This window comes from Homo sapiens, chromosome 1 (genome assembly GCF_000001405.40).
Source record: "Homo sapiens chromosome 1, GRCh38.p14 Primary Assembly".
Lineage (NCBI taxonomy): Eukaryota > Metazoa > Chordata > Mammalia > Primates > Hominidae > Homo > Homo sapiens.
The window spans coordinates 148,589,681-148,612,526 of NC_000001.11; the positions used below are offsets into that span (position 1 = coordinate 148,589,681).

General features: G+C 42.3%; 2 protein-coding genes across 15 annotated transcripts in view; both read right to left on the bottom strand.

Moving 5' to 3' along the window:
• Nucleotides 1-6,331, bottom strand: part of NBPF14 (NBPF member 14) — a 64,627-nt gene extending 58,296 nt beyond the window's left edge. Inside the window, exons 1-6 of one of the 2 annotated variants that reach the window (NM_001395631.1) lie at nucleotides 6,175-6,331; nucleotides 5,863-6,072; nucleotides 3,918-4,020; nucleotides 2,872-3,086; nucleotides 1,752-1,824; nucleotides 1,077-1,288 (exon numbers count right to left, since the gene is read on the bottom strand). In NM_001395631.1, the coding sequence (NP_001382560.1) occupies nucleotides 1,077-1,288; nucleotides 1,752-1,824; nucleotides 2,872-3,086; nucleotides 3,918-4,020; nucleotides 5,863-6,037 (778 nt within the window). In that variant the 5' untranslated portion in view covers nucleotides 6,038-6,072; nucleotides 6,175-6,331. Of the gene's footprint in view, nucleotides 1-1,076; nucleotides 1,289-1,751; nucleotides 1,825-2,871; nucleotides 3,087-3,917; nucleotides 4,021-5,862; nucleotides 6,073-6,174 lie in introns of those variants that run through there. The other variant, NM_015383.2, reaches the window with a different exon arrangement.
• Nucleotides 6,332-10,604: 4,273 nt separating this feature from the next.
• NOTCH2NLB (notch 2 N-terminal like B) overlaps nucleotides 10,605-22,846 on the bottom strand; it is a 112,254-nt gene continuing 100,012 nt past the window's right edge. For 8 of the 13 annotated variants that reach the window (XM_047420582.1, XM_047420606.1, XM_047420702.1 and 5 more), the window contains one exon: nucleotides 17,426-18,065. In XM_047420582.1, the coding sequence (XP_047276538.1) occupies nucleotides 17,542-18,065 (524 nt within the window). In that variant the 3' untranslated portion in view covers nucleotides 17,426-17,541. Of the gene's footprint in view, nucleotides 18,066-22,846 lie in introns of all 13 variants that reach the window. The other 5 variants (XM_047420744.1, NM_001395234.1, NM_001364008.2 and 2 more) reach the window with 1 other exon arrangement.

The window sequence follows — 22,846 nt, forward strand, 5'->3', positions numbered from 1 at the left end:
TCTGTGTAGCACAAAAGATTTCATTTTGCTTTTTTAATTTTTTTCTTTTTTGGTTTTTTGTTTTTTGTTTGAGACGGAGTCTCACTCTGTCACGCAGGCTGCAGTGCAGAGGCACAATCTCAGCTCACTGCCACCTCTGCCGTCCGGGTTCAAGCGATTCTCATCCCTCAGCCTGCCAAGCATCTGGGATTACAAGCGCCAAGTAACATGCCAGCTAATTTTTGTATTCTTAGTAGAGATGGGGTTTCGCCATCTTGGACAGGCTGGTTTCGAACTCCTGAGCTCAGGTGTTCCGCCCACCTCAGCCTCCCAAAGTGCTGGGATTAAGATGTGAGCCAGCGCCCCTGGTCAGAGACTTACTTTTTTTTTTTTTTTTTTTTTTTTTTGAGATGGAGTCTCGCTCTGTCTCCCAGGCTGGAGTGCAGTGGCACAATCTCGGCTCACTGCAAGCTCCGGTTCCTGGGTTCATGCCAATTCTCCTGCCTCAGCCTCCTGAGTAGCTGGGACTACAGGCGCCCACCACCACGCCCAGCTATTTTTTTTTTTTTTTGTATTTTTAGTAAAGATGGGGTTTCACCGTGTTAGCCAGGATGGTCTCAATCTCCTGACCTCATGATCCACCCGCCTCGGCCTCCCAAAGTGCTCGGATTACAGGTGTGACCCACTGCTCCCAGCCGAGACTTATTAATAGCTAAGACAAGCCAATGAAAAGGAGAGAGAGTCTAGCCTGACAGAAGTGAATGAGAGTGGGAGGATCATCTCAGCCCATCCTCCCACCTAAGTCTCCTGAGCAGTTGGGACTATAGGCGTGCAGCACCATGCCTGCCTAATTTTTTGTATTCTTTGTAAAGATGGGTTTCACCATATTGTGTAGGCTGGTCTTCAACTCCTGAACTCAAGTCATCGTCCCACTTGGGCCTTCCAAAGTGCTGTGATTATATGTGTGAGTCACAGCACCTAGCTCCATCCTAGTTTCTGACTAAAACAATAACAATATGTGTATATACAGCCTGTCCTCAGAATTGATCTTCCATAGCCTAGACAGAGGTATGAGACACAAGGAAAATAGAGGCTACCTGGGAGAATGTTTAGAGCATCCTGACATTCATCATGAGAGGATTCTCTGTCTACAACCAGAGTTGAGTTGACTTCGTCTTCCTCAAATGTGATTTTGATGTTCTTGTGAGGCTGGTTGGAGTCACAAGGGCCGTGGCTATTTGAACAAGTGATGGCACATTCCTCCAGTGAGTCCTCAGGGACTTTGCTCTCTTCAGCCTTCTGCACCTCCCTGATGAGCCAGGTGGGACAGAGATGACAGAAGATTAAACACAGAGGGATTGGACCCCAGGGAGTCCTAGCTGGTTTTGACAGGTGGCATTAAGAGAGTGGTTCCAGAAAGCAAAACGGAGGTTCCCTTAAAGAGGGAACAGGCAATCCTCTTCTCTCTGCAACAGACCATGGCTGCCATGGGAGCCAGAGAGGAAGAGAGCAGCTGGTGTTCAGTGCACTGAACAGATAGGAGCTGAGGAGGATGAAGACTCAGCTATCCCTGTATGGTACAGACATGACACTTGGCACACATAGAGAAACACGACAGCTGCCGCACCCTGTGTCTAAGCTGGGTTGAATTTCACATACTGTGGCCAAGGGAATGCGGGCATTTGGCCCATCATAGATGCCAGAGAGGGTGTGCCTCCTAGACATTTTCATACGTTACCACCCATTACTTGCTCCTGAGTATTCAGTGTTACCTGGGGGCAGATGATTCCAGTACTTTCTCAGCCTCCTCAACTTGAACATCTTCATCCTCATCTTCGTCATTTTCTAGAAATACAAAATGTTCGTTCAGATATTTCCCACTTCACATTCTGCAAGCACAGTCAGCCCAACGTGCACAGAGACATGAACATCTATGTATGGTTCAGCATTGTACTGAAAACTCTCATGTTTTATCTTTCACAAAATGCCCTGGCATGGTTTCCTGGTCCATCGGGCAATGCATTTCTGATGTGGAGGGCCACCATCAAGATGTGGCCAAATACTGAAAAGACCTTTTGCTTCCCATATCACTGGAGGCTTGTGCAGCCTCTCTCTGGACTTTGGCAGCTGTCTCCCCCATCCTGCCACAGATCTGATTCCCAGGAACAGGCTTGGTGTCCTGTCACAGTTCGCATTTCAAACCTCATTCTTTCTCTTAGGAGAGGACAAACTTGTCCCACAGTCCTCTATGCGTCATGAGATTGCACAGGCCCTCCATGTGGCTTCTGCTGTGTTATTCAGGGACATTCTATCCATGGGGAGTGCTCCAGTCTGAAGCACTTCCTACCACCAAATGCCCCCACATCAAGTGCCTTCTCCAACACCACATGGAGAGGGGCTTCATCTCATTTTGAAAAGCATTCGTAAGTGTTCCCATATTTGGATGCTTCAGACCCTTGCAAGAGACAATTTGTCTGCCTTTGCAGATGGAGAGAGAGAAACTCTGAAAAGATAAATCACTCACTGACACTTACTAAGAACATTGCCAAAAATACAGCCTGGGAACCTTCATTCTTAGCCCAGAGCTCTTTTCACTCCAACAAGCGCCCTTCCATCACAGCCTCCTTCCTGTCCTTTAAAACTAGATAGATGCTGCCTCTTGCTCCAAAGACCACCTTCCATCAAGGAAGGAGGGACACTTGCAATACTGTGACCTCCAAACCCATGGGTTTCCCATCTCTGTTCTTACCCAGGAAGTCCTGATCATGTCATGGCCACATAGGTGTAGTAGAAAAAAACCCCACTGATACAACTGTCATTGTGAAAGTATGGAGGTCTGGAGCCTCTCATAAGCCTGGGGTTTTGGGTCATCAGGGCCTATGGCCACCTTACCTGGGCTGAGCTTTTGGACAAGGTGCTGTGCCAGTCTACACCCCTCAGCCAGCTGTTCTTGGAGGTCCTGCCCCTGGGACTTGTCCGGCTCATACGGAGTGAGGAGGGCCTGGAGATGCTCATACAATGAGCGGGAGGCATCTCTCCCTTCCCGTAACTTCTCCCTTAGCTGGGTCAGCTCTCGTTCCTGAGAGTGAACCAGGACTTTATATTGCCTAAGGTGAGACGGTAGAGAAAATTTAAGAGTAGAAAGGGTTGAGTGATCCGTTCAAATATTGCAACAGAGACTTCTGAGACAATGTCATCAAGGAGACCTCCAAGCAGAAGGTCAGCACATGTTGAAAGGAATGACTGTGGCCAAGAGAAAGAATAGAAAATGGTCTACAGGCTTTCCCTCTATCAGAGAGGGCTCCTGCAAGATCCTCGATGATGTTCCATTCATCTTTCTCTTCTGTAAACAAAAGTAGGTGTCTTCCTAATTCCGTTTCAAAAAGACATCCTTTCAGTTCCTCACTCTGGCCATGGACATTTCCATGTGAAAATACACATAGTGCATCTTGCGGCCACTACATACAAAGCCACGTACAGAAATGAGGCCAGGTGCAGATGGGGCGAATTGAAAAGATGAAAGAAGAAAAGAAGGACAGGGTCGAGGAGGCAACATTGATTGAGTGAAAGAATGAGAAGCCGCAGTCAGTCAGGAGGTGATTCTCACTAAGGGTAAGTGGGGTGGCGATAGCACACCATTTTGATTATACTGAATGCTGCTGGGTGGTTCCCACTCCTTTGGTGAATTTTGTGTTATGTAAATTTCACCTCAACAATTACTTGTTTGAAAAAGAGAAAACAAGGCTCTAAGAAACAACTGCAACAGAGAACTTATTATTATCCTTGTTCTCTGATAAATATTTTTGTGTCATGAGCCTGCCATGGCAATTTCTGCCCTTCCCCTGGCCCAGCTTCGTTCTTACTTCTCCCCGCCGAGCTGCTGTACTTCAGAGATCTACACACCTACCCGCCTGCCTCCCCCTACGGGGTCCCCTCACCTGAGCTCCTCAGCTTGCTTCAGCTGCTCTGCAAGCTTCTCCTCCTTGAACTGTCGCTCATTCCTCAGCATAAATTTTATGAGGTCTTTACACTCTTCATACTCTGAGAAAAGACAGACACGCCTGCCTCAGTGGAAGGCTGGACATGCTGCTGTGGTCACTGCCTACAGGGCAGGAGCCAGGTCCATCCCAAGGACAAAACTCTCCCCAGTACCACGGTCTAGACAGGGATTTCCACATCTTTACTCTTCAGTCTCCTGACTTTCTGGCATCTGATCCTCCAAAATTTAAAGACGAAGAAAGAGAAACTCAAGGGCACATCAAGGAAGTTGACAAGATGATTCAACCACAACGAAGTGGAGTCAGAACTCACAGCCCCTGAGGTCTGACTCTGAATGTGGGGCCACTTTCCCAAGCCTTGCAGCCTCTCCTCTAAAACACTGCACTGGGGCATGAAGTAGTGATTTCTTGTACAGTCGGGAAGGCCCCTAGGACTATGGGACTGATGGCTTCCCTTTTACTGGGTATTTCAAGGACAAATATGTCAAGGACTTTAAAAATATTTCACTTTTAAATCAATATTCAGATATGGTTTTAAGAATCATATCTGAAGCATAAAGTGTGAGACATAAGACAATAAGGCCATGAAGGAAATATGCCCAAATACTTTATTAGTATGAGAGGCAGCATTAAGATTTAGATTAGTTGTGTTAATTTAGAAACAGAATAAGATTAGTTTGTGTTAATTTAGAAACATCAGAATGAAGAACTAATAGATAGTGTTTACACTGTGCCAATTAATGTTCAAGGAGATTGACAGGAAATACCTCAGGTAATTCATTGCAGCAATTTACAGAGGTAGGTATTATTGTAGTACCCTCTGAACAGATGAGGAAACTGAGGGACAGACAAGACAAGCAACTTGGATGGAGCCCAGGAGACAGGCTGAGGGTCCCTGCTTTGCACACTGCACTGCTGCTTCCACACATTCTCCGGTGTGATCTTTCCTCTTTAGGAACAAGAGCCTGTGCACCAGGAAGCAGGACTTCACTCTCACCAAGGTACTCTCTGCTTTTTATTTTTATTTTTGATTTATTTATCGTTTTGTTTGTTTGTTTTTTGACGAGTCTTGCCCCGTCACCCATGCTGGAGTGCAATAGTGCAATCTTGGCTCACTGCAACATCTGCCTGCTGGGTTCAAAGGATTCTTCTGCCTCAGCCTCCCGATTAGTGGTGATTACAGTTGCCCGCCAGGATGCCCATCCACTTTTTGTATTTTTAGTGGAGATGGGGTTTCTCCATGTTGCCCAGGCTAGTCTCAAACTGCTGACCTCGTGCTCTGCCCGCCTCAGCCTCCCAAAGTGCTGAGATTATAGGAGTGAGCCACGTTGCACGGCCCCTACTCCCTGCTCTTGATGCTGTCACTTATAGATAGCACAGGTTCTATTAGGAGCAGACTCCCCTTGAAGCCCCTCAGAGCAGGTACTGGCTACTATCACCAAGTTCCCCTCAGAGTCACTAGAACAGAGCTTTGCCTCTTGGGCCTCAACAGAAACTTGAACTGAATAAAAGTTCACTAGTCCTAGACATTTAGAACAACAGACTAGATGTTATTTGTCTGCAGGATCTTATATGGTACAGAGAGGATTCTTGAAAACACGATTGAGCCCCTTGGAGAAAACAGGTCATTCTGTGCCTGCGTTAGAAATCAATAACTGTGAGTTTAACTCTAGTTCCACCCCCATCTGATTGCAAACATGGAAAGTTGCTAAATACTTTGGCACCTCTGTCTTCCAACTTTAACAAAATGTTAAAATACCCATTTCTGTTTTCTTAGAAGTACAGGAAGGATGAAATTATTTTTGATGGAGAGAGCATTTAGTGTCTCAGAGAGAAGACAGGATATCATTCATCACTTTCATGATGGTGAGCCTATAGATCTTACTGTATTTCTTCTGTTGGTTGGCCAGGAAGCCGGCCAGTTGAGTTAGAAAACATTTCTCTTTGAGGTTTCTGAACTGCTGTTTCTTCTCTGCCAGCTGGGGGCGCAATGTCTCGTTGATTTCTAGAATGTTCATCTCTGCCTTCTCACTGGACCAAGGGCCGGCTGATACCACCATGCTGACGTTTGTGGCAGAAGAGGTGGAGTCAGGGACTGGGGAGAAGAAACCCAAACATATGATGGGTTAAAAACTGGTGAAATCAAATCGGTTTAATCAGGACTGAGGGATGTCAGTAACTGAAATTCTTAACTTACTGTTGTGAAAAATGTGATCACTCCCCACAGCACTTTAGGATCCTTCACCACAAAAACAAGGTTCGAGGTGCCTCAACTCAGAGCTGAAAGCACTGCCAGTAGCTCAGACTCTGATAAGAGTGAGGCAGAATGTGGCCAGCGTGCCAGGTAACCGTCTGCAGTTGCAATAACAGAATTAGAAGGTGGGGGTGTCATGGAATCTTAGGAGCTCTGCATTCCAATTGCCCAGGCTTTGCTGAAACACAGGCACCCTACTCTCACCTGAGGGTCACCACCAATGGGGATCATTCCTTCAGCATTCACTCTCAGTATTCGTGTACCCTTGTGACAATGCCACAGACCCGTGTCTTTCCCAATACATCTAAGCATATTCCTCACTGTTTATCTCTTGTCTGTACAACATCATCAAGGCAGAAACAGTTTCCCAACAGGTTATATTTTCTTAATGGTAGTCATGAAGTCACCCCACCTGCTCTCAGTTAAAACAGAGCTTAAGGCTTTTCCACAGGTGTAAGATATCAAACTTTTAGCCTGCCCTGATATCCTCCGGGTCTTCTGCAGTTTTTTCTGTATCCACTAGAAAGTGAATGAATAATTCATTTTTTTAAAATATTTTCTTTCCTGTCTCAGTATTCTTGCTGCTGCATCCCATTGTTAGATTGATTTCTTCTTTCTTACTGGGGCACCTTCTTGGGTTTTCATTACATTCTAGACCAGTTTGACATCCCTACGTCCAAAGCTCTTCCTCTATGTGGGTTGATTTGTTTTTTAATGTCACTGAGCACTACATTTTATACTTGTCACTTATAGATGTCATTCTAGTGCCCCAAGACCTCTTTTCAAGGTATCAAGTGATCAAAGTCATTTATATAGAGGTCTCCTGAAAACATGTGTGACCATCTATCTTGGGAAGTTTTGTAAACCTGATGCTATTTTGTTGTTTCCATTTTGTTTTCCCATATACTGAAAAGAACAGGGCCACGAGCAGTTCTTATGGAATATGGTTTGATATATATTTTGTTGAGATGACCTAACACCATTGATTTTGGGTTGCATTCCACTAACAGAACATGGCAAGATCAAGGTTATGGTCAGGGTTGGTTGGCGATCCTCAGTGTTGCTGTGCAGTAGAAGGTGAGTTTGAGGTGAGAGGAACAAGTAGGAAAGAGTGATCCCCTGAACCACCTCTTCGCTTTCTCAGCTTTCATCCCCACCTAGGTTTTGTGAGCCTGGAACTTGAGAGACTGTTCTGTAGCCCAGGTCTCCTAAGATTGGCTGCTGGACTTGCCTGAGTTGAGGGTGCAGTGGGTTGACCCTGGGCTGCCCAGCATTCATGTGGAAGTGAAGGAAGGAGGACTGGTTAATCCCATTTGAAAGCATCCCTCTCTGCAGCCCGCACCATCTTCCAGTGACACTGTAAGGATACTGCTTTGAGATGTATCAAAGGCTTTAAGTCAATGTATTTTCTAGGGTCTGGGAGACCTGACATTCTGTGTCAGAATGAAAATCTGTCAAGTTTCTAAATGAAAAAACTGCAGGTTCACAAAGTGTCATGGGTTACTTGAGGTCACAAAGGGATGAGTTTTCAGCACTGCCAATAAAAGCAATCACAATAATTATTCAGTAATTATTCATAGGATCCATACAATCCAGTAAATATTCACATATTTAGTAATTATTCATTGACCAATTCATACAAGGCATTTTGCTCAAAACTGTGTTTATATTTGGACATTGTATCTTCATCATAATCCTTAAGGTAATGCTATTATCTATAAGTAACAGATAAGAAACCTGAAGATGAGGGACAGCTAATCACGTATTTGGCCATATTTCCATTTTTTGGTTTTTGTGATGCTGGAAGAATGACCAGAATGGGTCACGGGAAGAGTATTCATTCCTGTATTATTTTCCAGGACAGAGGTGTGCCCTTCTAGAGTACTGGGACCAAAATTCAGAAGTGTCTGAAACCTTGCTTTAACAGTATGGGAAATAACCTCTATCACCTGGAATTTCCCTGGAACTTTGGAATATACAAGAGAAGTATGAGACGTGGGTCTTCCCTTGGCTGTGTTTAATTCACTCTTCTATGGAATACCAATGATTCTCACTAAGACTTTTGCCTTTTTATAACCACAATGTATGTCTTATGGAGAAGATTGTACACTTTGCTCTATTTAGAAAGAATAAATATGAGCAATAGTTTTAGGTTTTATGCCCTGGACTTCATATTTTTCTGATTTCTGTTTTGAGATTAAATTCTCATGTAAATAGAAAAATACTTATTATTTCTCATCAGGCCAAGTTTGTTATCAGCTTGAGTTTTTGAAGATGAAGCACAAACTTTTGATTTTATCTTTGTCCTCATCAGCGCCACTCATTGTCTCTCAGTATGGCCTGGACTTGCCCCTGCATTTACCCTCATCCTGCTGAGCCATCTCCATGCACTGCGCAATTCCATCAGTGATTCGGGGTCCTCCCAAGGCTCCCTGAAATGTGCACAGGGATCAGGACGTCAGACACATTCCAGACACAAAGGCAACCCACACTGTAGAGTGAGCAGCTGTGTTCCCACTTCCCTAATGTTCCAGTGATGTCCTCAAACTGAAGGGAACACTTTCCCTTTTTAAGGGTCTGTTCTTCATGTCTCAATGCCTCTGATCTAGTGAACACAACTGTCCTGAAACTGAAAGAACCTGCTAAATTTCGAGTTTCTGGTTAGGTGGCTAGAATAGGTTTATAAGACTTCCTTACTTACCTATGACTGCTGAAGTTTGAATTCTTAGCAGTATGATTCCTTTTCTTGTAAGCTGAGCAGCTTAGGAAAGATTGGCCATGTTGCTGTGCAAAAAGAGGTAAACTTAATTTATACTCAAAGCATGCTTGAATTTGAAACTAGGGCTTCCACTCTTCCAAAGTTGGATTGTCACTACCTCAGGCATGTGTCCCGAAGGGCTCATGTCTCTGTTGTACTCAAAGTTCAAATGGAGCCCAGCAAGCCAGATCTCCTTTACTTCTAAGTTCCCTCAACAGTTTCTCCTCTGCTTTAGAGACTGCCTTGAAAATATTCTTGTCCTGCTGTTGTGTTTTGGCTTTGGAATGATGTGATGCAGCTCAATGGGTCCTACCCCCAAGTTGATCAGAGTAAGAAACAGCTGGGAAAGTCAGTGCAAATTCAAGTTCATCATCCTCCTTACAGGGATTCTGATTCAGAGGGCTCAGGTGGGGCCTGGAATGTGTTTGTTAACATGACTCAGATGTGCAGTCAGTTTGGGGACCCGCTGATACCATCGACCTTATAGTTTATGGGATGATTCTGTTTTGCTGATAAAGAAACTGAGGCATAGACAGTCTGTAACTTGCCCAAGTTCCCCTTGCTGTAAGTCCTGGAGCCAGATCTCAGGTGGAGCAGCCTCTTCCCCATCCCCTTCCCACATTTTCCAATTCAGCTGGGTCAATTCTTTCAAAGTACGTGTTTCTCTCCCCTATACCTCATTTCTGAAAAAAGGAGAACTGAAATTTAACTTCTTTCATCTAATACATTTCCTCACAACATGCTGCCAGCATCATATTCTGGCCTCTTACTATTAAAGTGAGATGCCTTTTTTTTTTTTTTTTTTTGAGACAGGGTCTTGTTCTGTCACCCAGGCTGGAGTGCAGTGGTGATTATAGATCACTGCAACCTTGAACTCCTAGGCTCAAGCGATCCTCTTGCCTCAGCTTTCCAAGTAGTTGGAACTCTAGGCACACATCACCATTTCTGGCTAATTTTTTATTTTTCATGGAGACAAGGTCTTGCTATGTTGCTCAGGCTGGTTTTGAACTTCTGGCCTCAAGTGATCCTCCCACCTAGGCCTCCAAAAGTGCTGGGATTACAAGAGTAAACCACTGAGCCTGGCCCTGAAATGCTTTTTTTTTTTTTTTTTTTTAATGAAAATACAAGGCATGGAGATGTGGAAAGACACCTTGCTTTATTACTGTTATTATTAGTTCTATAGTATAATTCATATATCACAAAAATCACCATTTTTAAGCATATATTTCAGTGTCTTTTACCATATTCCAAAAGTTCTGCAACCATCACCACTACCTAATTCCAGAATATTTTCATAATGCCAAAAAGCATGCCTGTACCTATGGGCAGTCACTCTCCAATTCCCCACTTCTTACAGTCTCTGACAACCACTAATCTACTTTCTCTATATATAGATGTACTTGTTCTGGGCACTTAATTCAACAAATGGTCCTGGGACAACTAAATATCCACATGTAAAAGAATCAAGTTAGACTCCCTCCTCGCACATAAAAATTAACTCAAAATGGATCAGAGACCTAAAGGTAGGTGGTAAAATTATAAATCACTTAGAAATAGTAAATCTTTGTAATGTGGGATAAGCAAAGTTTTCACAAATATGACTGAAAGCACAAGCAACAAAAGAAAAAATAAATTGTATTCCATCAAGTTAAAAACATTTGGGCTGAAAAGTCTATCATCAAGAATGTGAAAAGACAGTACATAGAATGACAGAAAATATCTGCAAATCATATTATCTGATAAGAGACTTGTATTTAGGATATATTTTTTAAAAACTATTACAGTTCAATATTAAAAAGATAAACCAATTATAAAGTAGGTAAAGGATCTGAACAGACATTCTCCAAAGAAGATACATAATGACTAATAAGTATATGAAAAGATGTTGAAAATCATCAACCATCAGGGAAATGTAAATCAAAACCACAATGAGATAAACACTTCACATTACAGATGAATATAATAAAAAAGACAGACAATAACAACTGTTGATGAGGATGTGGAGAAACTGGAATTCTCATACACTGCTGGTTGGAATGTAAAATAATGTACCCACTTCAGAACAGTCTGACAGTTCCTGAAAAGGTTAAACAGCATTACCATCTGACGCAGCAATTCTGCTCCTAGGTATATATCCAAGAAATATGAAGATAAATGTCTACCAAAAAATTGTACAAGAATGTTCATAACAGAATTATTGATAATACTCAAAAAGTAGAAGCAACTCAAATGTCAATCAACTGATGATGGATAAATAAAATGATAAAATGTGGTAAATCCATATGATAAAATATTATTCAGCCATAAAAAGGCACAGAGTACTGACAAATGCTACCACATCAATGAACTTTGAAAACCTCATGCTAAGTGAAAGAAGCTGTCATAAATTACTACATGCTGCATGTTTCCATTTGTATGAAATGTCCAGAAGAGGCATTTCTGGAACAGAAGCTTTACCCAATTGCAGTCCATATGTTTTCTGGGATCCCGGAGTTCCCTTTCAACAATGTAAAATACAAACTTAGGTCAAAAGTTCCCATGTCTGAGAAAACTCAAGCCAAATCAGTTCTCCTCCAAAGTTGACAGGATTTATGCTTTAAAAATACAGATACAGAATTCTCTTTGGAAAGATCTACCAAATTCCTGTAAGAAACAGTCTACCCAAAGTAGGGGAAAGGCTATATGAAAAGTTACAAGGCACTTCTTAAAAATATATCTTAGGTTTTTAGGGAAAGGTAAACAGACAAGTTTCCAGACCCGTGGGTGGAATGGATGTAGCAGATTCACTGAGAGGCTCACAGCGCCGTACTAAAGGGAGTCTACTGCTTAAAGCCAATTCACATCCTTAAAAGGTCAAATGGAGAGAAATTAAACTTGGGAGAAGCATTTTAAGACTGTGCTGTTATAAAACCTCGGGCCACTTAACTGATTAATCATGGCAATGAGGGCAGGGACCAGAAAAGAGTCTTTAGAACCTGTCATCCCCACACAGAAGAGCAACTTTCAGGGAAACACCCTTATCTTTCCATTTTCAGACCCCGGGAGGTGTGAGGGTGGAAAGGCTAGGTAGAGAAGAGAGCAGAAAGGAGATGAGATGACACAACCAGGATTCTCCGAAGCTGGGCTTGAAGTCCTCAAGAAAAACTCCCATGAACAAGGAAGGAAGAGTGAAGAAAAAAACAGGGATACCTGGAACTGGACAAAAGTAAAAAGATAGAAGGATACTTTTTTTCCCCCAGAAGAAGTCTGTCACAAAAGCAAACCTGCAAATATACGATCAGTATAACACCCAAGAAAATGACACATGCGGCCAGGCATGGTGGCTCATGCCTGGAATCCCAGCACTTTGAGAAGCCGAGGCAGGTGGATCACCTGAGATCAGGAGTTCGAGGCCAACCTGACCAACATGGTGAAACCCCATCTCTACTAAAAATACAAAAATTAGCTGAGCATGGTGGCAGGCACCTGTAGTCCCAGCTACTTGGAAGGCTGAGACATGAGAATAGCTTGAACCCGGGAGGTGGAGGTTGCAGTGAGCCAAGATAGCACCATTGCACTCCAGCCTGGGAGAAAGAGCGATGCTCCGTCTCAAAAAAAAAAAAAAAAAAAAAGAAAAGAAAAGAAAATGACACATGCCCCCAAGTGTGAGAATGCAAGAGGGAATCCCTGACCTATCCCTATCCAACCAGTTTTCTTGGCACACACCTTCCATTCTCTGAATGAGCCCAGATTAACTCACTGACCCCTGTGCCACGTATCTCCCACTCCATCACCCGCCCAGGCTCACTGCTTCCACCTGCGTCCCTTCATATCTCCCTACTGACCTCCACTTTTTTCTAACTTTGTCACCAAAGAAGTCACAGAAATAAATAGGAGGATTCAAAAAGAATAATTTCAGTACATTTAAAAAATTGTAGAATATAGGATTCTCATCTATGTTTATCACGTTCATTCATTTTTCAAATTTTCATTGTGGCACCATTTTATGACAGGCACTATGCTGGGGATGCTGGCGACTAGGGTAGGGAGTTAAAATGAGAGTGTCTACTTGGAAAGATGAACAGATAAATAATCACCGTGATAAGTGCTGTGCTAGAGATATGCAGATGTCAAAAGACCTTAGAAGGTCTACAATCCACTTGGAGGGTAGGGAATATAGAAGGCATTTCAGTGAAATAGGGTGCCTTTGACAAATCATTAAGAATGAGTTCTACATTAAAAAGGGGAAGAGAGGGTGATAGCTGAGGAGGCAGCATAGGCAAGAACATCCAGCATGAAAGAACAGTGAAGGACATCAGGAACATCTTTCAGGAACATCAGGTAAAACAGACTTAGGGCCCAAGTCAAAGGAGCTAAAATAATACACCCTGGAAAGTGGTATGATCATTTCTGCATCTGCTCCAGAGAAACCTGCCAAAATATGATTAGCATAATACCCAAGAGAACATCACATTCCCCATGTGTGAAAATGCAAGAGGGAGTTATTTCTAATAGTTCATAAGCTCAGCAACAACAGAGTAGACACAAAAGCCATAGAATGTGCTTAGGCTTTACTTTAATGATATAGGGATATCACATATCATCAGCCTGTGGAGTACAGAGGTAGTTTACAAAGGATAAACCTTCATTGTTTGGAAAGGAAAGATCAGAGAGCTCTTTATGAAGTTTAAACAAAATCAGAGAAATAAAGAGATGTGGGAAAGAAAGAAAAAAAAGAAAGTACATTGAGGACAGTCCAATCTAACTGTGAACTCATAAGGGACAGCCAGTAAATTCAAAACAGCCTACTGTTTTTTGATTACTTGTGCTACTCTATTAAAATAGCCACAAACACAAAACTAGTCTACCTCTTTCTCTCCCCATTATTGGCCCTAACCCAAAAATAGTGGGAGTAAATGATTTAATAATTTATTTTCATGCTCCATTTTGTTCTTAAGTTAAAATTACTGTGGTTGGTGCCCCTCCTTTAGCTTCTGCTAAAGACTTTACATAATGAAAGCTCATGAAGTGTCTGGATTACTAACAGTTACTTATCCAAAAAGATGAGACATGGTTCATTGATTTGATTCTATTAGTTCTCTCTTGAAGATATTTTTCTCCTCCCTCTGTGAAGAAACATTTCTTTCTGTGTCATACAAGATGAGTCATTTTTGTAGTTTTAATTCCCTCTTGAGTCCTACAATAATACTAAAATACTCACAGTGACTACAGTATCCTTTGCAGGGAAAAAATTGTAAATTAACCATTTAAATATAGTCACTAAGTTATGTGGCATTCACTGACTCAGAGTTGAAAAAGACTCCAAAATTCTTATCCAGTATTAGAGTATACAAGGACAAAAGGAGAGGCCAAACTAAGTCTAGGACGCACAATACAAAGAAGAAAATGAGAAGACCAAAGTTACAGTCTCAATACTATGACATGATACTAAACCATACAGTCAGTCAGCCAATATATATTTGTGGGCCTAGTATATACTGGGCACTGTTTGTAGGTGTTTGGGTTACATCAGTAAACAAAAACAAAGATACTAGTTTTCATTCTGGAGAGGGTAAGAGGCAGTAGAATTTGGAAAAGACAGACAATGAACAATAGACATAATGAAGTAAATTATATAGTATAAATTATATAGTAAGAAGATAAGAGTTACAGAAAAAGAAAACAAAAAGTAGACCAGGGTTAGTAATTAAGGGGGTGGGGGACAGTTACAATTTTAAATAGGGTGGTTAGAGTAACCCTCAATTAGAAGTGCCAAGACGTGAAATGCAGTGGAAGCAACCATTTGAAAGTTGCAGAATACTTTAACAAGCTACTTTGCCTCCTGCTGACTTTGTTTCCCCATTTTTAGAACTGAAATAATAATTCTCATCAAATAAGGGTGCTATTTACATTGAGATAGTGACTATTACTATAAGTAACATTTTAGTCTCTTGACAAGCATGGGAAGCAATGGAATGAAGGGCAATGGAAGGAAGGGCACTGCATTATGAAAAGGACTTTTTAAAAGAAAACCATCTCTAGGCACTATTCCCCTTTGTGGAAATGAAGAGAATATTTTCTGAACTCCACCTGGGACATATGAACAATGAGCATGAAATCTTACAAACTGTATAAATAACATTTATTCACAGTGTCACTGCATCATCTATTGTTTTGAATTCTCTTTAAATTTCCTTCTATATATTTATCCAAAGCTGAAGTCATCTGGTTTAGATTATGGGACCCTGAAAAGCAAGAACTAGTCTATGTAACTACTTTTAAACATCTGCACAACGCCATATACACACACACACACACACACACACACACACACACACACACATTGATATGTAACAAGTACTATTTGATTATAATTAGGAGTGTCTTGGTTTTCTTATAACATGAACATATATTTTTAACCCAAACAGCTTAAAGCATTTAACGAAAAGTTTTACACACCTACAAAGTGCTTTCAGGAAGCAGATGTGCAGTGCAATGTGGCGCAGTAAGATGCACAAAGCAAAGGCTTTGAAAATAAACTGCCTCGGTTTCAGGACCCAGCCTAACCACATATTAGCTGTACAACTTTGGGTGAATCACTTAACATCTCCAAACTTCAGTTACTTCATGTGGGAAGACTTGAAAAATAATACCTGGTCCCAAGATTTTTGTGTAATTGAGCTAATAAGCATGGAAGTACCTGGCACAGTTCCTGAGTCACCAAAAAAATGTCAGTTTTCTCTTCATTGAATCTCCCCATTCCCACTCCTCATGCTAATCTCCCCTCCCACACACACACACACCATCAGTGAGTAAATAAGTGTCTTGCGTTAAACTACAACCAGAGAATAAGAGACAGCCAAGATTTCCTTACTCTATTTCACTAGCCCTGGCAGCCTCTCAGCTGCAGAATCCTTGGTTATTTCCTTTCTCAAGGAGGAGATACTATTCTAGTTTGACAGATCCTTTCCTGGACACACTCTCAGAATTCCCTAAGGTTCTTATCGTGGCTAATGGATAACAATGCAGAGGCTATGGGAGTGAATAATCACTCTCTCTCAGCTAAAAACTTCCTTTATTGACTTCTCTAACTTCCCGTCAACATCTTGCTGCCAAATCAACCTCTTGTTCTAGGCAATTATTAAAAGCAATTTTCTTGAAACTGAAAAACACATTTAGCCTTCAACAATAAATCACACTAACATCAATTACTAGCCAATTAGATTACTAGAATATCAGACCCAGAGATATTTGCAGTGTTGAAATATTTTCAAAATAAAGTTGTTTACATTTCTATTTCTGTCTTTAATCCTTAAAATGCAAACAAATACAGGAGTGAAGACAGATGTATTTTAGTTATTTCTTCTACAAGATAAAGTGGATAGTAATATTATGTTAAGAAAATACTTATTTAGTATCTAGAATGATAGCATTATCTATTCTTTATTAAAAGAGAAACTAAAAGTAATATAATTAAATAGCTTGTTCTTGTGACTTAAATAATATAAAATTTTCATTTCAATTATGTGACAATGCTTTGTATAGCTGTATTCCAAATACATAGCATGGTGCCTAGAACATAGCAGGCAGTCAATACATTTTTACCAAATGAAATGAATAAATTACCAGTTGATTTTATACTGAGGACCAAACTATGACCTTTAATCCCTCCAAAATAAAACACACAATCCCATTATATGTGAACCATATCCACAATACCAGAATCTAAGATTCCCACTCTGAAAGAGTAACTAGAACAACTTCTTTTTGAGGCAATTCTGCTTACTTAGCACATTACTCCCCCCTACAGTTTTCCTTCTTTTGTTTTTGTACTAAGGATATTTGTATAAAAACAGGATCTTTGTGGCTTAGTAATTCATCTGATTCAGCTGCTTGTATTCTGTTCCCAATCAAAATTCTTGGTTTTCAGCCTCCTCATCATTTTTATAAGGAGTTGAATGAATTGGTCAAGCTTGTTCCTTTCTCCCTCTCCATGGAACACCAGGCCCCAAGCTCCCCGACACTGCTCCTCTTTTTATTTCTATCTTTGGGTTGTGTGTACACTCTAGAACACTTGTATCAGTGAAGAGTGTAACAAAGTATTGTGCCACGCATAGTCTCTCATATATCATCTATCAGCTCATCAAAAAGTGCTCACTGATTAACAGAGGATCCCCTCCTCAGTTTCAGAATTCTCTAGCTTTAAGTTAGGGGAGGGTTACCCCAAAGTCAGAGAGGGTACATGGGAGAGGGTTGTGAAGGCCAGTAGCCCAGAGAAAATCAAGGGCAGCTGGGTGCATTTAGGTGGATAAGAAAACAATGAATTACTCCATCAAAAGCAAAAGCACAAGCACATAGTAAAGTTGATCACCCACTGTTAATGTCAATTCAGTTTAAAGCACTTTATTAACCACACATACATATTTTCCAGTGTCTAATTCTCATCGTGTTCTTTTCCATTCCAGACTTCCCTGTCTCTTTCCCAGAGCTCTGTTCCTCTTCTCACTGTTTCTACAAAAGGGACAATAAACAATTTTCTAGCCACTCATCATCATAAACCCTGACATGCTAAATTATCCCCTGCTCAGTTTATGGACCACAGTGGGCCCATAAAACTCCTCCCTCACTAGCAACCCACCCCACACAAAATTCTCACTTCCCTTTTTCCTTGCGCTTCCTAAAAAAAGCAATTGAGCCACACCCACTACCTCCTGTGCTAGGGGTTTGTCCCCTAATCCTGGGACACTAGGGAGCTCCTTACCTGGAAGGCAGTTGCACTCAAAAGTGAAGTCACCAGTCTGCCGACAGGTGCCTCCATTGACACAAGGCGAGGGTGCACAGGGCACATACAGGCTGTCACAGTACTGGCCTGTGAAGCCCTGAAGGCACTGGCACTGGTAGGAACCAGGCAGGTTGAGGCAGATGCCACCATGCTGGCAGTGTCCTGGAATGTCACACTCATTGACATCAGTCTCACACTTCTGCCCTGTGAAGCCTGTGAGGCATTTGCAGGAGAACTGGTTGGCCACAGTGGTACAGGTACTTCCATTTGCACAGGGATGAGACAGGCAGGCATCGGTCCATTGGCACTCCTTACCTAAAGGAAGGATAACAAAACTCAGTACTGGCCACAGAAATAGGAGATGGCCCCATCCTCAATACCTCATTGACATCAGCGAGCTCTTGCGTGGAGAAGACCTCAACTCTTTGCATTTTACAAAAGGCTAAATCAGAGCCTCCTCAAGGTCATCTGACACAGAGCTCTCTCCAGTAACTCTCCAAGGACCTCAGCAGAGACACAAGGACTCAGTGGGTGGAGCACCTGGAGGCAATTGTAGGTTAGTCACATTGAAGCCCAATCCTGCAGGACGCTATCAGCAATAGGAGTCTGGATCCATCTACTCTCTCAGAGCTCACTGTCTTTGCATATGCTGCTCCTGTTTGAATATCAACTTCCGGGCCAGGAGCAGTGGCTCACACCTGTAATTCCAGCACTTTGGAAGGCCGAGGCAGGCAGATCATGAGGTAAGGAGTTCAAGACCAGCCCAGCCAATATGGTGAAACCCTGTCTCTACTAAAAATACAAAAATTAGCTGGGCATGGTGGCGCGCACCTGTAATCCCAGCTACTTGGAAGGCTGAGGCAGAAGAATCACTTGAACCCAGGAGGCGGAGGTTGCAGTGAGCCGAGATTGTACCACTGCACTCCAGCCTGGGCAACACAGCAAGACTCCATTTCAAAAAAAAAAAAAAATCAACTTCCCTTCTGTTTTCCTAGTGAACTCTCCCTATCTTGGCAACTCTACTCAAAAGTTCCAACCTCTGTAAAGTCATCCTTAGTGCCCCTCACATACATACATGTGCGCAAACACAGATACACCAAGTTTGCTATTTTCTTCTATTATACCACCTGCCACACTGGCAGGGTTGGGTCTCCGTGGTATGCTCTCAAATCATGTCTGTTGAATGGATAAAATATATCGATATTTTCCACAAAATATAGTTACTAAATAGACCTCTGGTGATAGAAACAAGTCAATACTACTTCTGTTTCCTCTAAATGTAACACACACATATATTCTGGGAAACATTTTATTAATTGTGGCCTTGCTATAAATATCTGTTGATGTGTTTGAAAATGATGAAGGACCTCTGGGTCCCTATATAACAAATGAAATAGAAGCCATCAGGAGGACAGAGGTCTTGAAGGTATTCCGTGGACTTTCTCAAGTAGGAAAGTACCAGCACTAGCAGGAAGACTCTGACGGGTTGAAAACTAAATCATGATGCCAGGGGAAGCAAAGCAGATTCTTTGAGGCAGAAAGAGAAAGAGAAAAAAATATCCTCACAGAACTAGTAAATTTGGTATTCACATGGCTGGCTTTTTGTTGTCATTAGTCTAAGTAGCTTATTATTTAAACTACAGAGATAAGAACTCCTTGAATTATTATTATTATTATTATTATACTTTAAGTTCTAGGGTACATGTGCACAACATGCAGGTTTGTTACATATGTATATATGTGCCATGTTGGTGTGCTGCACCCATTAACTCGTCATTTACATTAGGTACATCTCCTAATGCTATCCCTCCCCCGTCCCACCACCCCACGACAGGCCCCGGTTTGTGATGTTCCCCTTCCTGTGTCCAAGTGTTCTCATTGTTCAATTCCCACCTATGAGTGAGAACATGCGGTGTTTGGTTTTTTGTCCTTGCAATAGTTTGCTGAGAATGATGGTTTCCAGCTTCATCCATGTCCCTACAAAGGACATGAACTCATCCTTTTTTATGGCTGAATAGTATTCCATGGTGTATATGTGCCACATTTTCTTAATCCAGTCTATCATTGATGGACATTTGGGTTGGTTCCAAGTCTTTGCTATTGTGAATAGTGCCGCAATAAACATACGTGTGCATGTGTCTTTATAGCAGCACGATTTATAATTCTTTGGGTATATACCCAGTACTGGGATGGCGAGAACTCCTTGAATTTGTTAATACTCCAGTTGATTGTCTAGGAAAGTATCTAAATCTCTGACCTCATAGAAAGGTAAATGGGAGACACAAGAGTTTTTCTATAAGGGAAAAAGATGCGAGATGTGACATATGAGCACAGAAAAGTGCTCTCTGCCTATCAAGGAATGTCAAATCAAAGGAGAAAACTATAACACAAATTTAGGCACAGCATATACATCTCAGGGAGCTAAGACAGAAAATGAAGGAACTGCAATTCTTCTTGTCTTTCCACTCATGTCACTAAGAGGCACTTATTTACAGTGGAGAAGAGATATAAATGCTCACTTCTAGCAAGTGTGATTTTCAGAGTGATGCCCACAACTGAAACAGAAAGATCCCCGGACCGGAAGTGGTGGCTGATGCCTGTAATCCCAGCACTTTGGGAGGCTGAGGTGGGCAGATCACTTGTGGTTAGGAGTTTGAGACCAGCCTGGCCAACATGGTGAAACGCCATCTTTTCTAAAAATACAAAAATTAGCCGGGCTTCATAGCGCATGCCTGTAATCCCAGCTACCTGGGAGGCTGAGGCACAAGAATCACTCGAACCCAAGAGGTGGAGGTTGCAGTGAGCCGAGACTGCGCCACTGTACTAAGCAACAGAGTGAGAAGAAAGAAAGACAGAAAGAGAGAGGGAAAGAGAGAGAAAGAGAGAAAGAGAGAGAAAGAAAGAAAGAAAGAAAGAAAGAAAGAAAGAAAGAAAGAAAGAAAGAGAAAGAAAGAAAGAAAGAAAGGGAGAAAGAAAGAAAGAATCAACCCTGAATTTGGTTTCCATATATATTATGTATAGGCACTAACTTGCTGCCTATGCTTCTTCATCTCTGAGTGGAGATGAGCTAGTAAGCTGACTGAGGTATAGCGCTATCACAAAAACCAAAAGGATGACCTTGATCTGTGATGATTCCTAAAGTGATAGACAAAAATAGCATATGTATAAAAGATGATCAGAATCGGCCGGGTGTGGTGGCTCACACCTGTAATCCCAGCACTTTGGGAGGCCGAGGCGGGTGGATCATGAGGTCAGGCGATCCAGACCATTCTGGCTAACAAGGTGAAAGCCCATCTCTACTAAAAATACAAAAATTAGCCGGGCATGGCGGTAGGTGCCTGTAGTCCCAGCTACTCAGGAGGCTGAGGCAGAAGAATGGCGTGAACCCGGGAGGTGGAGCTTGCAGTGAACCGAGATTGCACCCTGCACTCCAGCCTGGATGACAAAGCAATACTCCATCTCAAAAAAAAAAAAAAAAAAAAAGGTGATCAGAATCTTGCAGAACACACCAAGAAGAGATCCTTCTTAACAACAAAGGAAGAAGTTTTAATTTGGGACCATTTCAGAGTGACATTTTAATTATGAAGAAGGCATTACTGTCATTTCCACTAGCCAGAATTAAAATATTTTAAGTGGGTATATGCCCCCCTACTTTGCCTCCTAATAGCAAAACAACTCAAAACTGACAATCAGGAAGAAATTATTCTTATAACACCAAATATTTTCAGTGACTTACATCATCAATACCATCATCATCATGATGGAGATCATGGATCATCCTAACTACCCTCTACCCCACCAACACCTTTTGATGAATGATATGGTTTGGTAGTGTCCCCACCCAAATCTCAACTTGAATTGTATCTCCCAGAATTCCCATGTGTTGTGGGAGGGACCCAGTGGGGTAACTGTATCATGGGGGCCAGTCTTTCCTGTGCTATTCTCATGAGAGTGAATAAGTCTCATGAGATCTGATGGGTTTCTCAGGGGTTCTGCTTTTGCTTCTTCCTAATTTTCTCTTGCCACCACCATGAAAGAAGTGCCTTTTGCCTCCCACCATAATTCTGAGGCCTCCCCAGCCATATGGAACTGTAAGTCCAATTAAACCTCTTTTCTTCCCGGTCTCGGGGATATCTTTATCAGCAGCGTGAAAATGGACTAATACAGTAAATTGGTACCAAGAGTGGGGTTTTTGCGAGAGTGCCAGCTATCCCGAGGGAAACTTTGGAGGGAACCAGCTACTAGATGGTTCAATTAGTCTTTCGCCCCTACACCCAGGTTGGATGACCGATTTGCACATCAGGACTGCTACGGACCTCCACCAGAGTTTCCTCTGGCTTTGCCCTGCCCAGGCAGAGTTCACCACCTTTCAGGTCCTAACATTTGTGCTCATGCCCCACCTTCCCAGTGCAGAAAACAAGATGGGCCGGTGGAAAGCTGACCTGGCTACTGCCACCGCAGAGTGCCCAATTTGCCAGCAGCAGAAACCAACACTGCGCCTTTGATATGGCACTATTCCTCAGGGTGATCAGCCAGCCACTTGGTGGCAGGTTGATTATGTTGGACTTCTTCCATTGTGAAAAGGGCAGATGTTTGTCCTTACTGGAATAAACACTTACTCTGGATATGGGTTTGCCTATCCTGCATGCAATGGTTCTGCCAAGACTACCATCCGCGGACTCATGGAATGCCTTATCCACTGTCATGGTATTCCACACAGCATTGCCTCTGACCAAGGCATTCACTTTATGGCTAAAGAAGTGCAGCAGTGGGCTCATGCTCATGGAATTCACTGGTCTTACCATGTTCCCCAACATCCTGAAGCAGAACGGTGGAATGGCCTTTTGCAGTCACAATTACAATGCCAACTAGGTGAGAATACTTTGCAGGGTTGGGGCAAAGTTCTCAAGAAGGCTGTGTATGCTCTGAATCAGCGTCCAATATGTGGTACTGTTTCTCCCATAGCCAGGATTCACAGGTCCAGGAATCAAGGGGTGGAAATGGAAGTGGTACCACTCACCATCACCCCTAGTGATCCACTAGCAAAATGTTTGCTTCCTGTTCCCGCAACATTAAGTTCTGCTGGCCTAGAGGTC